This window comes from Homo sapiens, chromosome 1, assembly GCF_000001405.40.
Source record: "Homo sapiens chromosome 1, GRCh38.p14 Primary Assembly".
Classification (NCBI taxonomy): Eukaryota; Metazoa; Chordata; class Mammalia; order Primates; family Hominidae; genus Homo; species Homo sapiens.
The window spans coordinates 98,863,116-98,876,357 of NC_000001.11; the positions used below are offsets into that span (position 1 = coordinate 98,863,116).

A 13,242-nucleotide genomic window follows, 5' to 3' on the forward strand; every position below is an offset into this window, starting at 1 on the left:
CCCAGGTTGAAGTGCAGCTGCACTATCATGGCACACTGCAGCCTAGAAATTCTGAGCTCAGGTGATCTTCCTGCCTCAGCCTCTCAAGTCATCATTTGCCCATTTTTTATTAGGTTGTGAGTTTTAAGGGTTTTTTATTTATATAAATATAAGGGGTACAATAGCAGTTTTGTTACATGAATGTATTGTGTAGTGGTGAAGTCTGGGCTCTTGGTATAACCACCACCCGAATAGTGTACATTGTACCCAGTAAGTAATTTCTCATCCCTTGCCTTCCTCCCACTCTCCCACCCTTCTGAGTCTCCAATATCTATCATTCCACACTCTATGTCCATGCATTAAAATATATATTATTTAACTCCCACTTATAAGTGAGAACATATGATATTTGGCTTTCTGTTTCTGAATTGTTTCACTTAAGATAATGGTCTCTAGTTCCATTCATGTTGTTGCAAAAAGCATTCTTTTTTTTATGGCTGAGTAGCATTCCATTTTACATTATCTTTATGCATTCTTCCATTAATGGACACTTAGGTTGATTCCTTATGTTTGCAACTGTAAATAGTGCTGTGATAAACATAAAGTGCAGGTATATTTTTGATGTCATGATTTATTTTCCTTTGGGTAGATACCCAGTAGTGAGATTGCCAGATTAAATGGTGGTTCTATTTGTATTTATTTGAGAAATCTCCATACTGTTTTCCATAGCAGTTGTACTAGTTTATATTCCACCAACAGTGTATAAGTGTTCCCCTTTTCTCCACATCCTTGCCGATATCTGTTACTTTTTCCCTTTTTAATAATAACTATTCAGACTGGTCTAAGAGGATAGATTATTGTAATTTCTTTTTGCATTTCTCTGATGACAAATGATATTAAGCACTTTTTCATATGCTTACTGGCCATTTGTATGTCTTCTTTTGAAAAATATCTATTCATATCCTTCACTCACCTTTTAATGGGGTTATTTGTTTATTTCAATTGTTGAGTTGTTTGAATTACTTGTAGATTCTGGATATCAATTTTCTATTGGTTGCATAGTCTGCAGATATTTTCTCCCATTCTGCAGATTATCTGTTCACTTTGTTGATTATTTCTTTTGCCATGCAGAAGCTTTTTACTTTAATTAATTTCTATTTGTCTATTTTTGTTGTTGGTGGTGGTGGTGCTTTTCAGATCTTTGTCATAAATTCTTTGCCTAGACCAATATCCAGCAGTTTTCTCTAGGATTTCTTCTAGTATTTTTATGGTTTCAGTTCTTACATTTAAGACTTTAATCCATCTTGAGTTGATTTTTGTATATGGTGAGAGATAGGGGTCCAGTTTCATTCCTCTGAATGTGGCAATCCAATTTTCCAGGACCGTTTATTAAAAAGGGTATATTTTCCCCAGCATATGTTTTTGTCACCTTTGTCAAAGAACAGTTGGCTATAGATATGTGGCTTTATTTCTGAGTTTTCTATTCTGTTTCATTGGTTTATGTCTCTATTTTTATACTAGTACTATGCTGTTTGGATTACTATAGCCTTCTAGTATAATTTGAAGTCAGGTGATGCTATGTCTCCAACTTTGTTCTTTTTGTTTAGAATTGCTTTGGCTATTCAGGCTCCATTTTGGTTCCATATGAATTTTAAGATTTTTTTTCTAATTCCATTAAAATGGCATTGGTATTTTGAAAGGGGTTGGATTGAATCTGTAGTTTGCTTTGGGCAGTATGATTATTTTAGTGATATTAATTCTTCTGACCAGTTAGCACAAAATATTTTTTATGTGTTTGTCTTATCTACAGTTTCTTTTATCCATGCTTTATAGTTTCCCTTGTAGAAATCTTTCACCTCCTTCGGTAAATATATCCCTAGGGGTGTGTGTGTGTGTGTGTGTGTGTGTAGCTATTTAAGTGGGATTGCCTCCTTAAATTGCTTCTCAGCTTGATTGTTATTGGTGGGTAGAAATGCTAATAATTTTTGCACATGGATGTTTTGTCCTGAAACTTTAGTGAATACATTCGTCAAATCTAGAGTTTTGGAGGAATCTTAAGGGATTTTGGTGTAATATCATATCATCTGAAAAGAGAGATAATTTAAATTCCTTTTTTCCAATTTGGATGCCTTTTATTTCTTTCTCTTGCCTGATTGCTCTGCCTAGGACTTTCACTACTATGTTAAATAGAAGTGGTAAAAGTGGGCATCCTTGTCTTGTTCCATTTCTTATGGGACTGCTTACAACTTTTCCCCATTCAGGATAATATTAGCTGTGTGTTCATTGTATATGACATTTATTATTTTGAGGTATGTTTTTTCTGCTGTTTTTTCAGGGATTTTTTAACATGAAGAGATGCACAATTCTATCAAAAGCTTTTTCTGCATCTATTGAGCTGATCATACAGTATATTAGTCTGTTTTCGTGCTGCTGATAAAGACATATCTGAGACTGGGTAATTTACAAAGAAAAAGAGGTTTAATGGGCTCACAGTTCCACATGGCTGGGGAAGCCTCACAATCATAGTGGAAAGGCGAAAGCACATCTTACATGGCAGCAAGCAAGAGAGAATGAGAACTAAGCAAAATGGGAAACTCCTTATAAAATCATCAGATCTTGTGAGATTTATTCATTACTAAAAGAACAGTATGGGGAAAACTACCCCATGATTTAATTCTCTCCCACCGGGTCCCTCCCACTCACATAGGAATTATGGGACCTACAATTCAAGATAAGATTTGGGTAGGAACACAGCCAAACCATATCATTCCACCCCTGGCACCCCCGTGAATCTTATGTCCTCACATTTCAAAATGAATCATGCCTTTCCAATAGTCCCCTAAAGTCTTGACTCATTCCAGCATTTACTCAAAAGTTCACAGTCCAAAGTCTTATCTGAGACAAGGCAAGTCCCTTCTGACTATAAGCCTGTAAAACCAAAAGCAATTTAGTTACTTTCTAGATACAATTGGAGTACAGGCATAGGGTAAATACACCCATTCCAAATGGGAGAAATTGCCCAAAACAAAAGGGCTACAGGCCCCATGGAAGCCTAAAATCCAATAGAGCAGCCATTAAATCCTAAGGTTCCAAAATTATCTCCTTTGACTCAATGTGTCACATCCAAATCACACTGATGCAAGAGGTGGGTTCCCATGGTTTTGGGCAGCTCTGCCCCAGTGGCTATGCAAGGTACAGCCTCCTTTCTGGCTACTTTCATGGGCTGGCATTGAGTATCTGTGGCTTTTCCAGGTGCACAATGCAAGCTGTTGGTAGATCTACCATTCTGGGCTGTGGAGGATGGAGGCCTTCATCTCACAGCTCCACGAGGTAGTGCCCCAGTAGGAACTCTGTGTGGGGGCTCCAACCCCACATTTCCCTTCTGCACTGCCCTAGCAGAGTTCTCCATGAGGGTATTGCCCCTGCAGAAAACTTCTTTCTGGACATCCAGTCATTTCCATACATCCTTTGAAATCTAGGTGGAGGTTCCCAAACCTCAATTCTTTACTTCTGCACTCACAGGCTCAACACCATGTATAAGCTGCCAAGGTTTGGGGCTTGCACTCTCTGAAGCCATTGTCTGAGCTGTACCTTGGCCCCTTTTAGCCAAGGCTATTGCGGCTGGGATGCAAGGTACCAAGTCCCTAGGCTGCACAGAGCAACAGGCCCTGGCCCCAGCCCATGCAACCATTTGTTCTCCTTAGGCCTCCAGGCCTGTGATGGGAGGGGCTGCCATGCAGACCTCTGGCATGCCCAGAGACATTTGCTCCATTGTCTTGGTGATTAACATTTGGCTCCTCTTTACTTATGCAAGTTTCTGCAGCCTGCTTAATTTCTCCTCAGAAAATGTTTTTTTTTTCCTATCAGGTTGTCAGCCTGTAAATTTTCTGAAATTTTATGCTCTGTTTCTCTTTTAAAACTGAATGCTTTTAACAGCACCCATCACCTCTTGAATGTTTTGCTGCTTAGAAATTTCTTCTGCTAGATACTGTAAGTCATCTCCCTCAAGTTCAAAGCTCAACAAATCTGTAGGTCAGGGACAAAATTCTGCTAGTCCCTTTGCTAAAACATAGCAACAGTCACCTTTACTCCAGTTCCTGACTAGTTTCTCATCTCCATCTGAGACCATATCAGCCTGGATTTCATTGTCCATATCATTATCAACATTTTGGTCAAAGCCGTTGAACAAATCTCTAGGAAGTTCCAAACTTTCCCACATTTTCCTCTCTTCTTCTGAGCCCTCCAAACTGTTCCAACCTCTTCCTGTTTGCCAGTTCCAAAGTCATTTCCATATTTTTGGATATCTTTACAGCAGTGCCCCACTCTATTCTATTAGTCTGTTTTCATGCTGCTGATAAAGACATACCTGAGACTGGGCAATTTATAAAGAAAAAGAGGTTTAATGGACTCACAGTTCCATGTGACTGGGGAGGTCTCATAATCATGGTGGGAGGCAAAAGGCACATTTTACATGGCAGCAAGCAAGACAGAATGAGAGCCAAGCAAAAGGGGAAGCCCTTTATAAAACCATCAGATCTTATGATACTTATTCACTGCCATGAGAACAGTATGGGGAAAACTGCCCCATGATTTAATTATCTCCCACTGGGTGCCTCCCACAACATGTAGGAATTATGGGAGCTACAAATCAAGATGAGATTTGGGTGGGGACACAGCCAAACCATGTCACATAATTTTTGTCCTTAATTTTTTTATGCCATGAGTCACATAAATTGATTTGCATATATCAAACCATGTATTTATAGTATTCAATAAATTATATGAGATAGTCACTATTATAAAATAGGCTTTGTGTTAGATGATTTTGCCCAACAAGAGGCTAATGTTCTGAGCTCATTTAGGGTAGGCTAGGCCAAGCTATAATGTTGGGTGGGTTGAGTGTACTAAAGTGCATTTTTGACTTCAATATTTTTAACTTACTATGAATTTATTGAGCTGTAACCCCATCATAAATCGAGGAGCATCTGCATATGTGTTCCAAATATTTTCTTGCAGGCTCTGGATTTCCTCTTCATTTTCTTAATAGTATATTTCAAAGAAGAAACTAAGGCCAAGGCAGGTAATTTGACTTGCTTAAAATTTCCCAGCTAAAAATATCAGATATGGAATTTGAACTCAATTCTTTTTGTTTTCCAAATCCTACCTCTTAGTCCTTATGCTTTATTACTAAAGAGTCATGAAATTATTTATTTATATGAAAATATTTTAATAAATGCCTCCTATTTTGTAGTTTCAGCACTAGAGTAGTGGTTCTATATAAATGAACACATGGTCCCCATCTACTTTAAGATCCCAAGCAAATATAAGGAAAAATAAAAAATCTAAAAAGATATGTTGAATGCTATCATAAAAGTAAATAGCACAGGTAAGGAAAACAATACTATCTGGAATTGTTGAGGAAATGGTCAAATAGAATTGCTGTTTGGTCAGTGTTCAAAAGATACAATGGGTATGGATAGCTGAAAAGAATAGTGTAAACATGGTAAAGCCAGAGAGGTGTGAAAGCAAGTGGTCTCTGCAGAATTGGGACTAAATATTAGATTGTTTGAGAAAGTGGCAAAAAGCACCATTTTAAATATTTTGTTCTTATAATATCACATGCTTTGATACATAGATGTTATCCTACAGATAAGTAACTATGAATATTATCTGATTATGATAGAAACATAGATTTTAAATAGTTATTTGGGCATATGTTTGAATGACTGGCAAAATGAGCATGAGACTTGTGGTCAGGAAACAATTGAAAGCTTATTGTAATAGAAGAAGAGAAATTAAACTGACAGGAATTAATCAGGGGAAAAGGAAGGGCTGAATTTTAATGAATAATCAATAGTTCAGGTATGGAATATATATCATCCTCTTCAAGTACAATGAATGGGCCAAATTGAACATAGTTTATTACATTACTAGCTATGAAAAACCCTGAAGGGAAAAAGTACCCAACACTTCACATATTAGGTAATTGGGAATCATTATGATTTTATAACATGGCTGGGCCATAGCATTGGCTCAAATGCCAACAAGCTGAAAAGAAGGCAAGAAGGTCTGTAATAAGGAACCAACACAGAAAACTCATATATGTATATAAAATCAGTGTATGACCCAGACGAAAGGCAAGGTCATTCTAATATTCTACAGTATTGCCAATAGCCAGGACTGTCTTAGGCATTTACATGAGCTGGGTGAAACTGCTGTAATCACTATTAAACGAGGGTGCTGCATGATATGTTGCTTGCCCCACACAGTCTGGTAGACTAATGTGTCCTAACACAGCTAGTCAAAGGTCTTAGAGAGCCAAAGTCTGCATATGTCTTGAGAAAAGTAACCAGAGTATCATTATTTTAGAATTGAAAAACAACTGATAGCATGTTGCACTGGATACATAGACCTAACTTGTGTATCCTCAAGTGGTTTATAAAAATCAATCCAACTGAAGACTATAATTTTCTCATACAATCCAGATTTCTGGATTCTCTTGAAATATTAGATGATCCGGTGGTGGAGGGTCTTAATTCTGGTATCACAACAATTGACAGGAGCTACACATAGCAACCTCCACCACTCTGTGTGGGTACATACCCCTCATTCATACAATGAAAAACATTTTCACAAAAAGACCAAGGTATCACTCATTATTGTTATCTTCCTGGTCTTGTAAGCATTTGCTTTCACAGTCTCTGATATAAGGTGCAAGTGAAATCTCAAGTGCCAGAGTAATTCATAGCTGGATCCAATAGAGAAGAAACAACAGGACTCCTAAAGGATGAGTAAAGAAGTTGGAATTGCTTATTTTGAAAGATATAATAAGAAGTTTTGAGAAATATCATCAGCATGAAGGCTGACACCTGGAAAAATCTCAACTGCATTAAATTAAGTAGGCTTTCTGATGAGGTCCTACCTAAGGGAAAATTACCAAGTGGCCAAATTTTACTTAGTGTCTAAAAAGCCGCCTTTCCCTTTGCCCCTTTCTTTCTCTTCAACATTAAGTTATACCATCATATTTTCTGGTCTTTATGTAAAATGTGCATATATTTGTATATAATATATGTATTATACATATACATTGATAAAGTATCTTCTAAAATTTTCTCAGTAGCTAAGAAGAATGGGATTCTATAATTATCTCTGGCTTTAATTATGGGGTACTGTCAAAGGCTTGGGTTTTAGATTCATTTATTCTTTCAACAAATATTTATTTAGTTCCTAAGGATCTAGTCATGGTCAAGGTTCTTTTTTTCTTGAAGCTTAAATTCTAGTAAGGGAACATATGTAATAAATAATAATAATACAAGTAAATATTTCTGCATATTGATAAGAGTTATGAAGAATAAATGAGTTGTTGGGTTGGAGAGTGACCAATGGCTGTAAACAGTGGCCACTTTCTGTGTAGCAAATTTCCCAGTGGGGATATTGTGGTTGGTTTTAAAAATTACTTAAAACGGAGTGCCACCCAGCCACCTAGCTAGGACTTTACTGTTTGACTATTTCATATTCACTATATGTAAGGGTCATCCCAGCAGTTATAATCTGCCATGTGTTGCTATACAAAGATTTACAGGATTCAGCATATTTAACTACCTAATTGGAAGCACTCCTTGCATCTAATGAGCATTTTTTTCTTGACACTTTTTTCCCCACTTATCAGATAAGCCAGCATTTTCTTAAATGTCTAAGGTGTGCTAAGGCCGAAAGGTTATTTTTAAAGCAATGAGTCTATAAATTACTAAGTTTTGTGGTGGAGGAAATAGAAGAAAAAATATATTTTGGAAGGGAATGAAGTATGGTAATCACTCCAAGCAGGCTTAATTATGGAGAAACTAAGAGGTGGGCATGTGGGAGGAGACTTGAAACTTAATTTAGTCTCGTCCATAATTTTGTCTGAGTTCAGCTGTCAATACACTTACGATATCCTGGCTTTGAGGCGCTCTGTCTCTAGGATTAATTTTTTTCCTTCCAGAGAAGACATAATGTCATTAGAGTAAATCATGACTTCTCATATAATTGCTCATCTGCTGATAAGGAAGATAGGTCCACCTGATTCCAGCCTGAGCCAATCGTGCCTTCCCTATCCACTGAGTTGCTGAGTTAAGCCTGATTCTGAAGCTGCATACAGGTGTTATCAGTGCCCTTTGTTCTTGTAATGTCTCAAGAAAGATGACAATAGAAATCAAGAGAGATCACTAGATATAGCAGCATAGAGAAAGAGAAAGCATTATTTTAGCTTGTGCACAAGGAAGTCGGCACCACAAAAGGAAAAGGGCAGGCTGCTCCTGGAGGGTAGTATGTGGATTTGTTTTATGCGGACTTTCTATAGGGAAGGATTTCATCAGGGCATGTATAGGAGGGTTTTTTCTAGCACTTGTGCAATGGCTCTACATGTTTCTTCATACACCACATGTAATATTACCGTTTTAAATCTCCACTACTGGCTGTGTGACTTTTAGTATTAAAATGAGGGGGAGGGGCAATTATAAGTTAAAGTTTAAGGCTACCTGCACATGTGGAGCCGAAGGGAAGTCCCTATCCCCCTAAAGCAGGAACTTGTGGTTAATAGCTTCTTGGGTTTTTTGTTGCTGATTGGCTGGAAGTTAGGTAAGCTACAGTTTGAGTAAAGGGCTTTTGATCTTTTCTCTAAACCACATGAAAACAGGAAATGAGCCTGTCTGCCTATCTGGCCTACTCAGTGAGAATGGATTCAGTGATAGATTAACAATGTCTGCCATAAAATCAGAAATAAAAACAAAACCACGAGGGCTTGGGACATAGAGTTGTGGCAAAATGAACTAAGAATGATTTATCAAAATGCTACCCTTTGGAGCTTCTTGACTTATGTATAAGGCAGGAATAGTAGAGCTAAGCAGGTTCCCAGACCAATTTCCCAGGATACTTGGTAGATCTTGGAATAAGCCTTTCATGTTGAAAAACAAATAGGACTGAGAATTGGCTGCCCTGGGACGGGAAGGGCCCTGTACTCAAATTTGTCTCACTCCAAACCTGTCGGAAGTCAAAAATCCATGCTTGAAAGAACAAGTTTTCAGGGTGTGTAGAGGGTTAATTAACTCATCCATTGTTTTCAGTGTAGGGAGATGGAAATCACACAAATAGCATCCTATTTAGGGCTGTGCTAGAAATGAATTGCAGCCTGGCAGCAAGCCCTGTTCCTTTAAGGGAGACATGAGCCTTGTTTCCCTTTATTATTCTTAATTTTTCATCAACTCTCTCAACAATGTCTAGTTTTTAATTTTATTTATTTATTTATTTATTTGAGACTGAGTCTCTCTCTGTCGCCCAGGCTGGAGTGCAGTGGTGCACTCGGCTCACTGTAAGCTCCGCCTCTCGGGTTCACGCCATTCTGCTGCCTCAGCCTCCCCAGTAGCTGGGACTACAGGCGCCCGCCACCACGCCTGGCTAATTTTTTGTATTTTTAGTAGAGACGGGGTTTCACCGTGTTAGCCAGGATGATCTTGAACTCCTGACCTCGTGATCTTCCCATCTCGGCATCCCAAAGTGCTGGGATTACAGGCGTGAGCTACTGCGCCCGGCCAACAATGTCTAGTTCTTAATATGTAAATGAATATTCATAGAGAGGCTGCCAAGTAGATTTTAGGCATTTTTATGAGTAACTGATAACAAACAATAGATGATGTTGAAGTCTGGATAGTAAAGGAAGTCTTCTGTGACATTCAGGCAGTTCAGCAAGAAGAAGATGCACTGACTAATCTTTAAAAACAGTTTTTAAAAATTTTAATATAATAAGCATTATTTTTAAGTAAACTTTATTTTAGAATAGGTTCACAAAATTCATACAAAAATTTGTGAATGTGATATAAGAGAATTCCCATATACCCTAGTAAACCCAGTTTACCTTATTTTGGATATTCTACATTAACCTGGCAAGTGTTTCATAGTTAATGAACTCAGTGATACATTATTAATTAAAGTCCATACTTATTTCTGATTTCCTTAGTTTTTACCTAATGTCCTTGTTCTGCTCCAGGATCCTATCTAGGATACCATATTACGTTTGCTTGTCTTATTTCTTACTCTTCTTGGCCATGACAGTGTTCCAGGCTTTCATTGTTTTTGATGATCTGGACCACTTTGAGGGGTACTAACCAGGTATTTTGTAGAATGTCTCTTAATGGAGATGTGATTGATATTTTTCTCATGATTAGATTGGGTTTATGGTTTTGAGAAGACTACAGAGGTAAAGTGCCATTCTCAGTGCTTCACATGAAGGGTACATACTATAAACATGATTTATGGCTATTAATATTATTTTTGATCATCTGGTTGAGGTAGTATTTGTCATGTTTCTGCATTGTAAAGTTACTCTTATAAATCAAAAATAAAATGCTGATCCCCTCTGAACATCTGTATGGACCCTTTCTCTTGGCCTAGAGCATTCCAAATTTAGCCTGAAAATCTAGCTCAGGCCATGATGGAAAGGCGGAGTTGGACATGCCTCATTATGCCCACCTCCCTTTTGGAATTCAGGCCCAGCTGACTGGCATTAGCATCAACACAGACCTTAAGACTGATAAAACAGACTCTTTAAGTCTGATAAGAAACGTTTACAATCTATTCTCTGAAGCCTGCAACCTGGAGTGTTCACCTGCATGTTAGAACCTTGTTCTCTACAACCCCTTATCTTAACCTAGACATTCCTTTCTACTGATTTTAAGTCTTTAGACAATAACTTAACTCTCAGCCAATTGCCAGTCAGAAAATCACTGAATCTACCCATGACCTGGAAGCCCCCACTTCCAGTTGTCCCACCTTTTTGGACCAAACCAATGTACATCTTACATGCAATGATTGATGTCTTATGTCTCCCTAACATGTATAAAACCAAGTTGTGGCCTGATTACCTTAGGCACATGTTCTCAGGATTTCCTGAGAGCTGTGTTGTGGGCCATTGGTCACTCATATTTGGCTCAGACTAAATCTATTCAAATATTTCGCAGAGTTTTACCCTTTTTATCAACACTCTTTTTCATATAATCCTTTCTGTATAGGAGTCACTATATGTAGGACACACTTAAGGAGTGGGGAGCTATATTTCACCTTTCTGAGACTGGAGTATCCACCTATTCACAATTATGCTGAGTAGATGTGTTTATTCTTCCCTCATTTATTAATGTATTAATTCAATCATTTATTTACATCAGTATGGAATCTTTGTTTTTCTTTTAATGTATGTTATATAATCTGTACAATATTATATTATTTATTTTCTTGCTCAAATTGTTTCAACACTGGCCACTGGGAGATCATTTGGTTGAGCCCTATGTCACTTTAACATCTGCCCATCACATATCATGGGGTTCAGGACACATTACCCCAAAATATGACCTTGGCATTTGAGAAACAAGCAGAAGTAGGAGGATCACTCTCATCTTCCCGTCTTTCTTCTCTTCTGAAGCAGATCATAAAAGCTTCATCCAGAGGTATCTCCTTAAGCCTGGTCCTGAGGTTGAGGTCCTGAGGTTCTGGTCCTGAGGTCCAGAAACATCCTGTCCTTGAAGACACAGAGACACTAAGAAGAATCTGAACTTAGGCCTTGCTAAATTCACTCCAATTTATTACCATAAGATCATCCTGCCCCCTTGTTTAATTATACTTCTGCACAAGTTTCCACTCTTTAAACCTAAGCATAAAAATATACAAATTTCCCTGTTTCTTTGGGTCTTCATTTCTGAAGGGTCCTTCTCTAGTCATGTACAAAAAGTTAACTTACGTGCTTTTCTCTTGTTAATCTGTCTTTTGTTATAGGCGCCCCAGCATAAACCTTACAACAGGTGAGGAGAAGATATTACTTTTCCTTCCCTATGTGTGTGTGTGTGTGTGTATGTGTGTGTGTGTATGTGTGACTTCTTTACTGCTCCAGGCTCATCTTGTATATTTTCTGCCCCAGTCCTAGAATCAGCATTTCTTCAAGGAGCCCTACCTAAAAGGTAAATACTTTTATTGGAGAATGGTATTAAAACCAAGATAAAGGCACTGGGTGTGCTCACTGCTACTGAGGTATAATTGCTTCTATGCCATTCCCTTTAACCCCTGGGAAACCAAGAGGGAGATTGAGATTAATCTCAGCAGTTGTAGGAGAAATGGAAGAATAACATGCCACTGGACAGTGGAGTGAATGGGAAGTGAGAAATTCACAGTAACAAGTAGAAAATGGGACAGAAGAAGTGAGAGCTTGAGATCAAGCCTGGGTGGTCACAAAGTGATCCTGGGCATGTTTGTATCTGAAGCAAAAATTAAGTGACAATGGAGAAATTCAAGACACAGGACAGGGCAGACAAGTAAGAAAGCTAGATTATTTTATCTGGAAAACATAAGCAAAGTGGAATTATGTTGTTACGGTTTTCATTAATATTCTTTAGGGAAACATGACAAATTAAAAATGTCAAGCAATTATGCATAAGCTATCTGATAATTGTCTCTACTTTCCTTTTATTGGTAAGAAACTTCAGGAGATTTTCAAGTATGTGTAGGGATGATATTTATATGGTACTTTTTTTTATACTTTAAGTTCTAGAGTACATGGGCACAATGTGCAGGTTTGTTACATATGCATACATGTGCCGTGTTGGTTTGCTGCACCCATTAACTCATCATTTACATTAGGTATTTCTCCTAATGCTATCCCACCCCCATCCCCCCACCCCACAACAAGCCCTGGTGTGTGATGTTCCCTGCCCTGGGTCCAGGTGTTCTCATTGTTCAATTCCCACCTGTAAGTGGGAACATGCAGTGTTTGGTTTTCTGTCCTTGAGATAGTTTGCTCAGAATGATGGCTTCCAGCTTCATCCATATCCTACAAAGGACATGAACTCATCCTTTTTTATGGGTGTTTAGTATTTCATTGTGTATATGTGCCACATTTTCTTGGGCATTTGGGTTGGTTCCAAGTCTTTGCTATTGTGAATAGTGCCACAACAAACATATGTGTGCATATAGTAGCATGATTTATAATCCTTTGGGTAAATACCCAGTAATGGGATCACTGGGTCAAATGGTATTTCTAGTTCTAGATCCTTAAGGAATTGCCACACTCTCTTCCACAATGGTTGAACTAGTTTGCACTCCCACCAACAGTATAAAAGCGTTCCTATTTCTCCACATCCTCTCCAGCACCTGTTGTTTCCTGACTTTTTAATGATCGCCATTCTAACTGATGTGAGATGCTATCTCATTGTGGTTTTGATTTGCATTTCTCTGATGGCCAGTGAT

General features: G+C 38.1%; 1 annotated feature.

Annotated features, from left to right (window-relative positions):
* Positions 8,458-8,577: an enhancer, noted in NCBI's record as "active region_1357". NCBI's record gives its function as "activates an Ori minimal core promoter by ATAC-STARR-seq in GM12878 lymphoblastoid cells {active_cell/tissue: GM12878}" and the evidence as "EXISTENCE:reporter gene assay evidence [ECO:0000049][PMID:35858748]".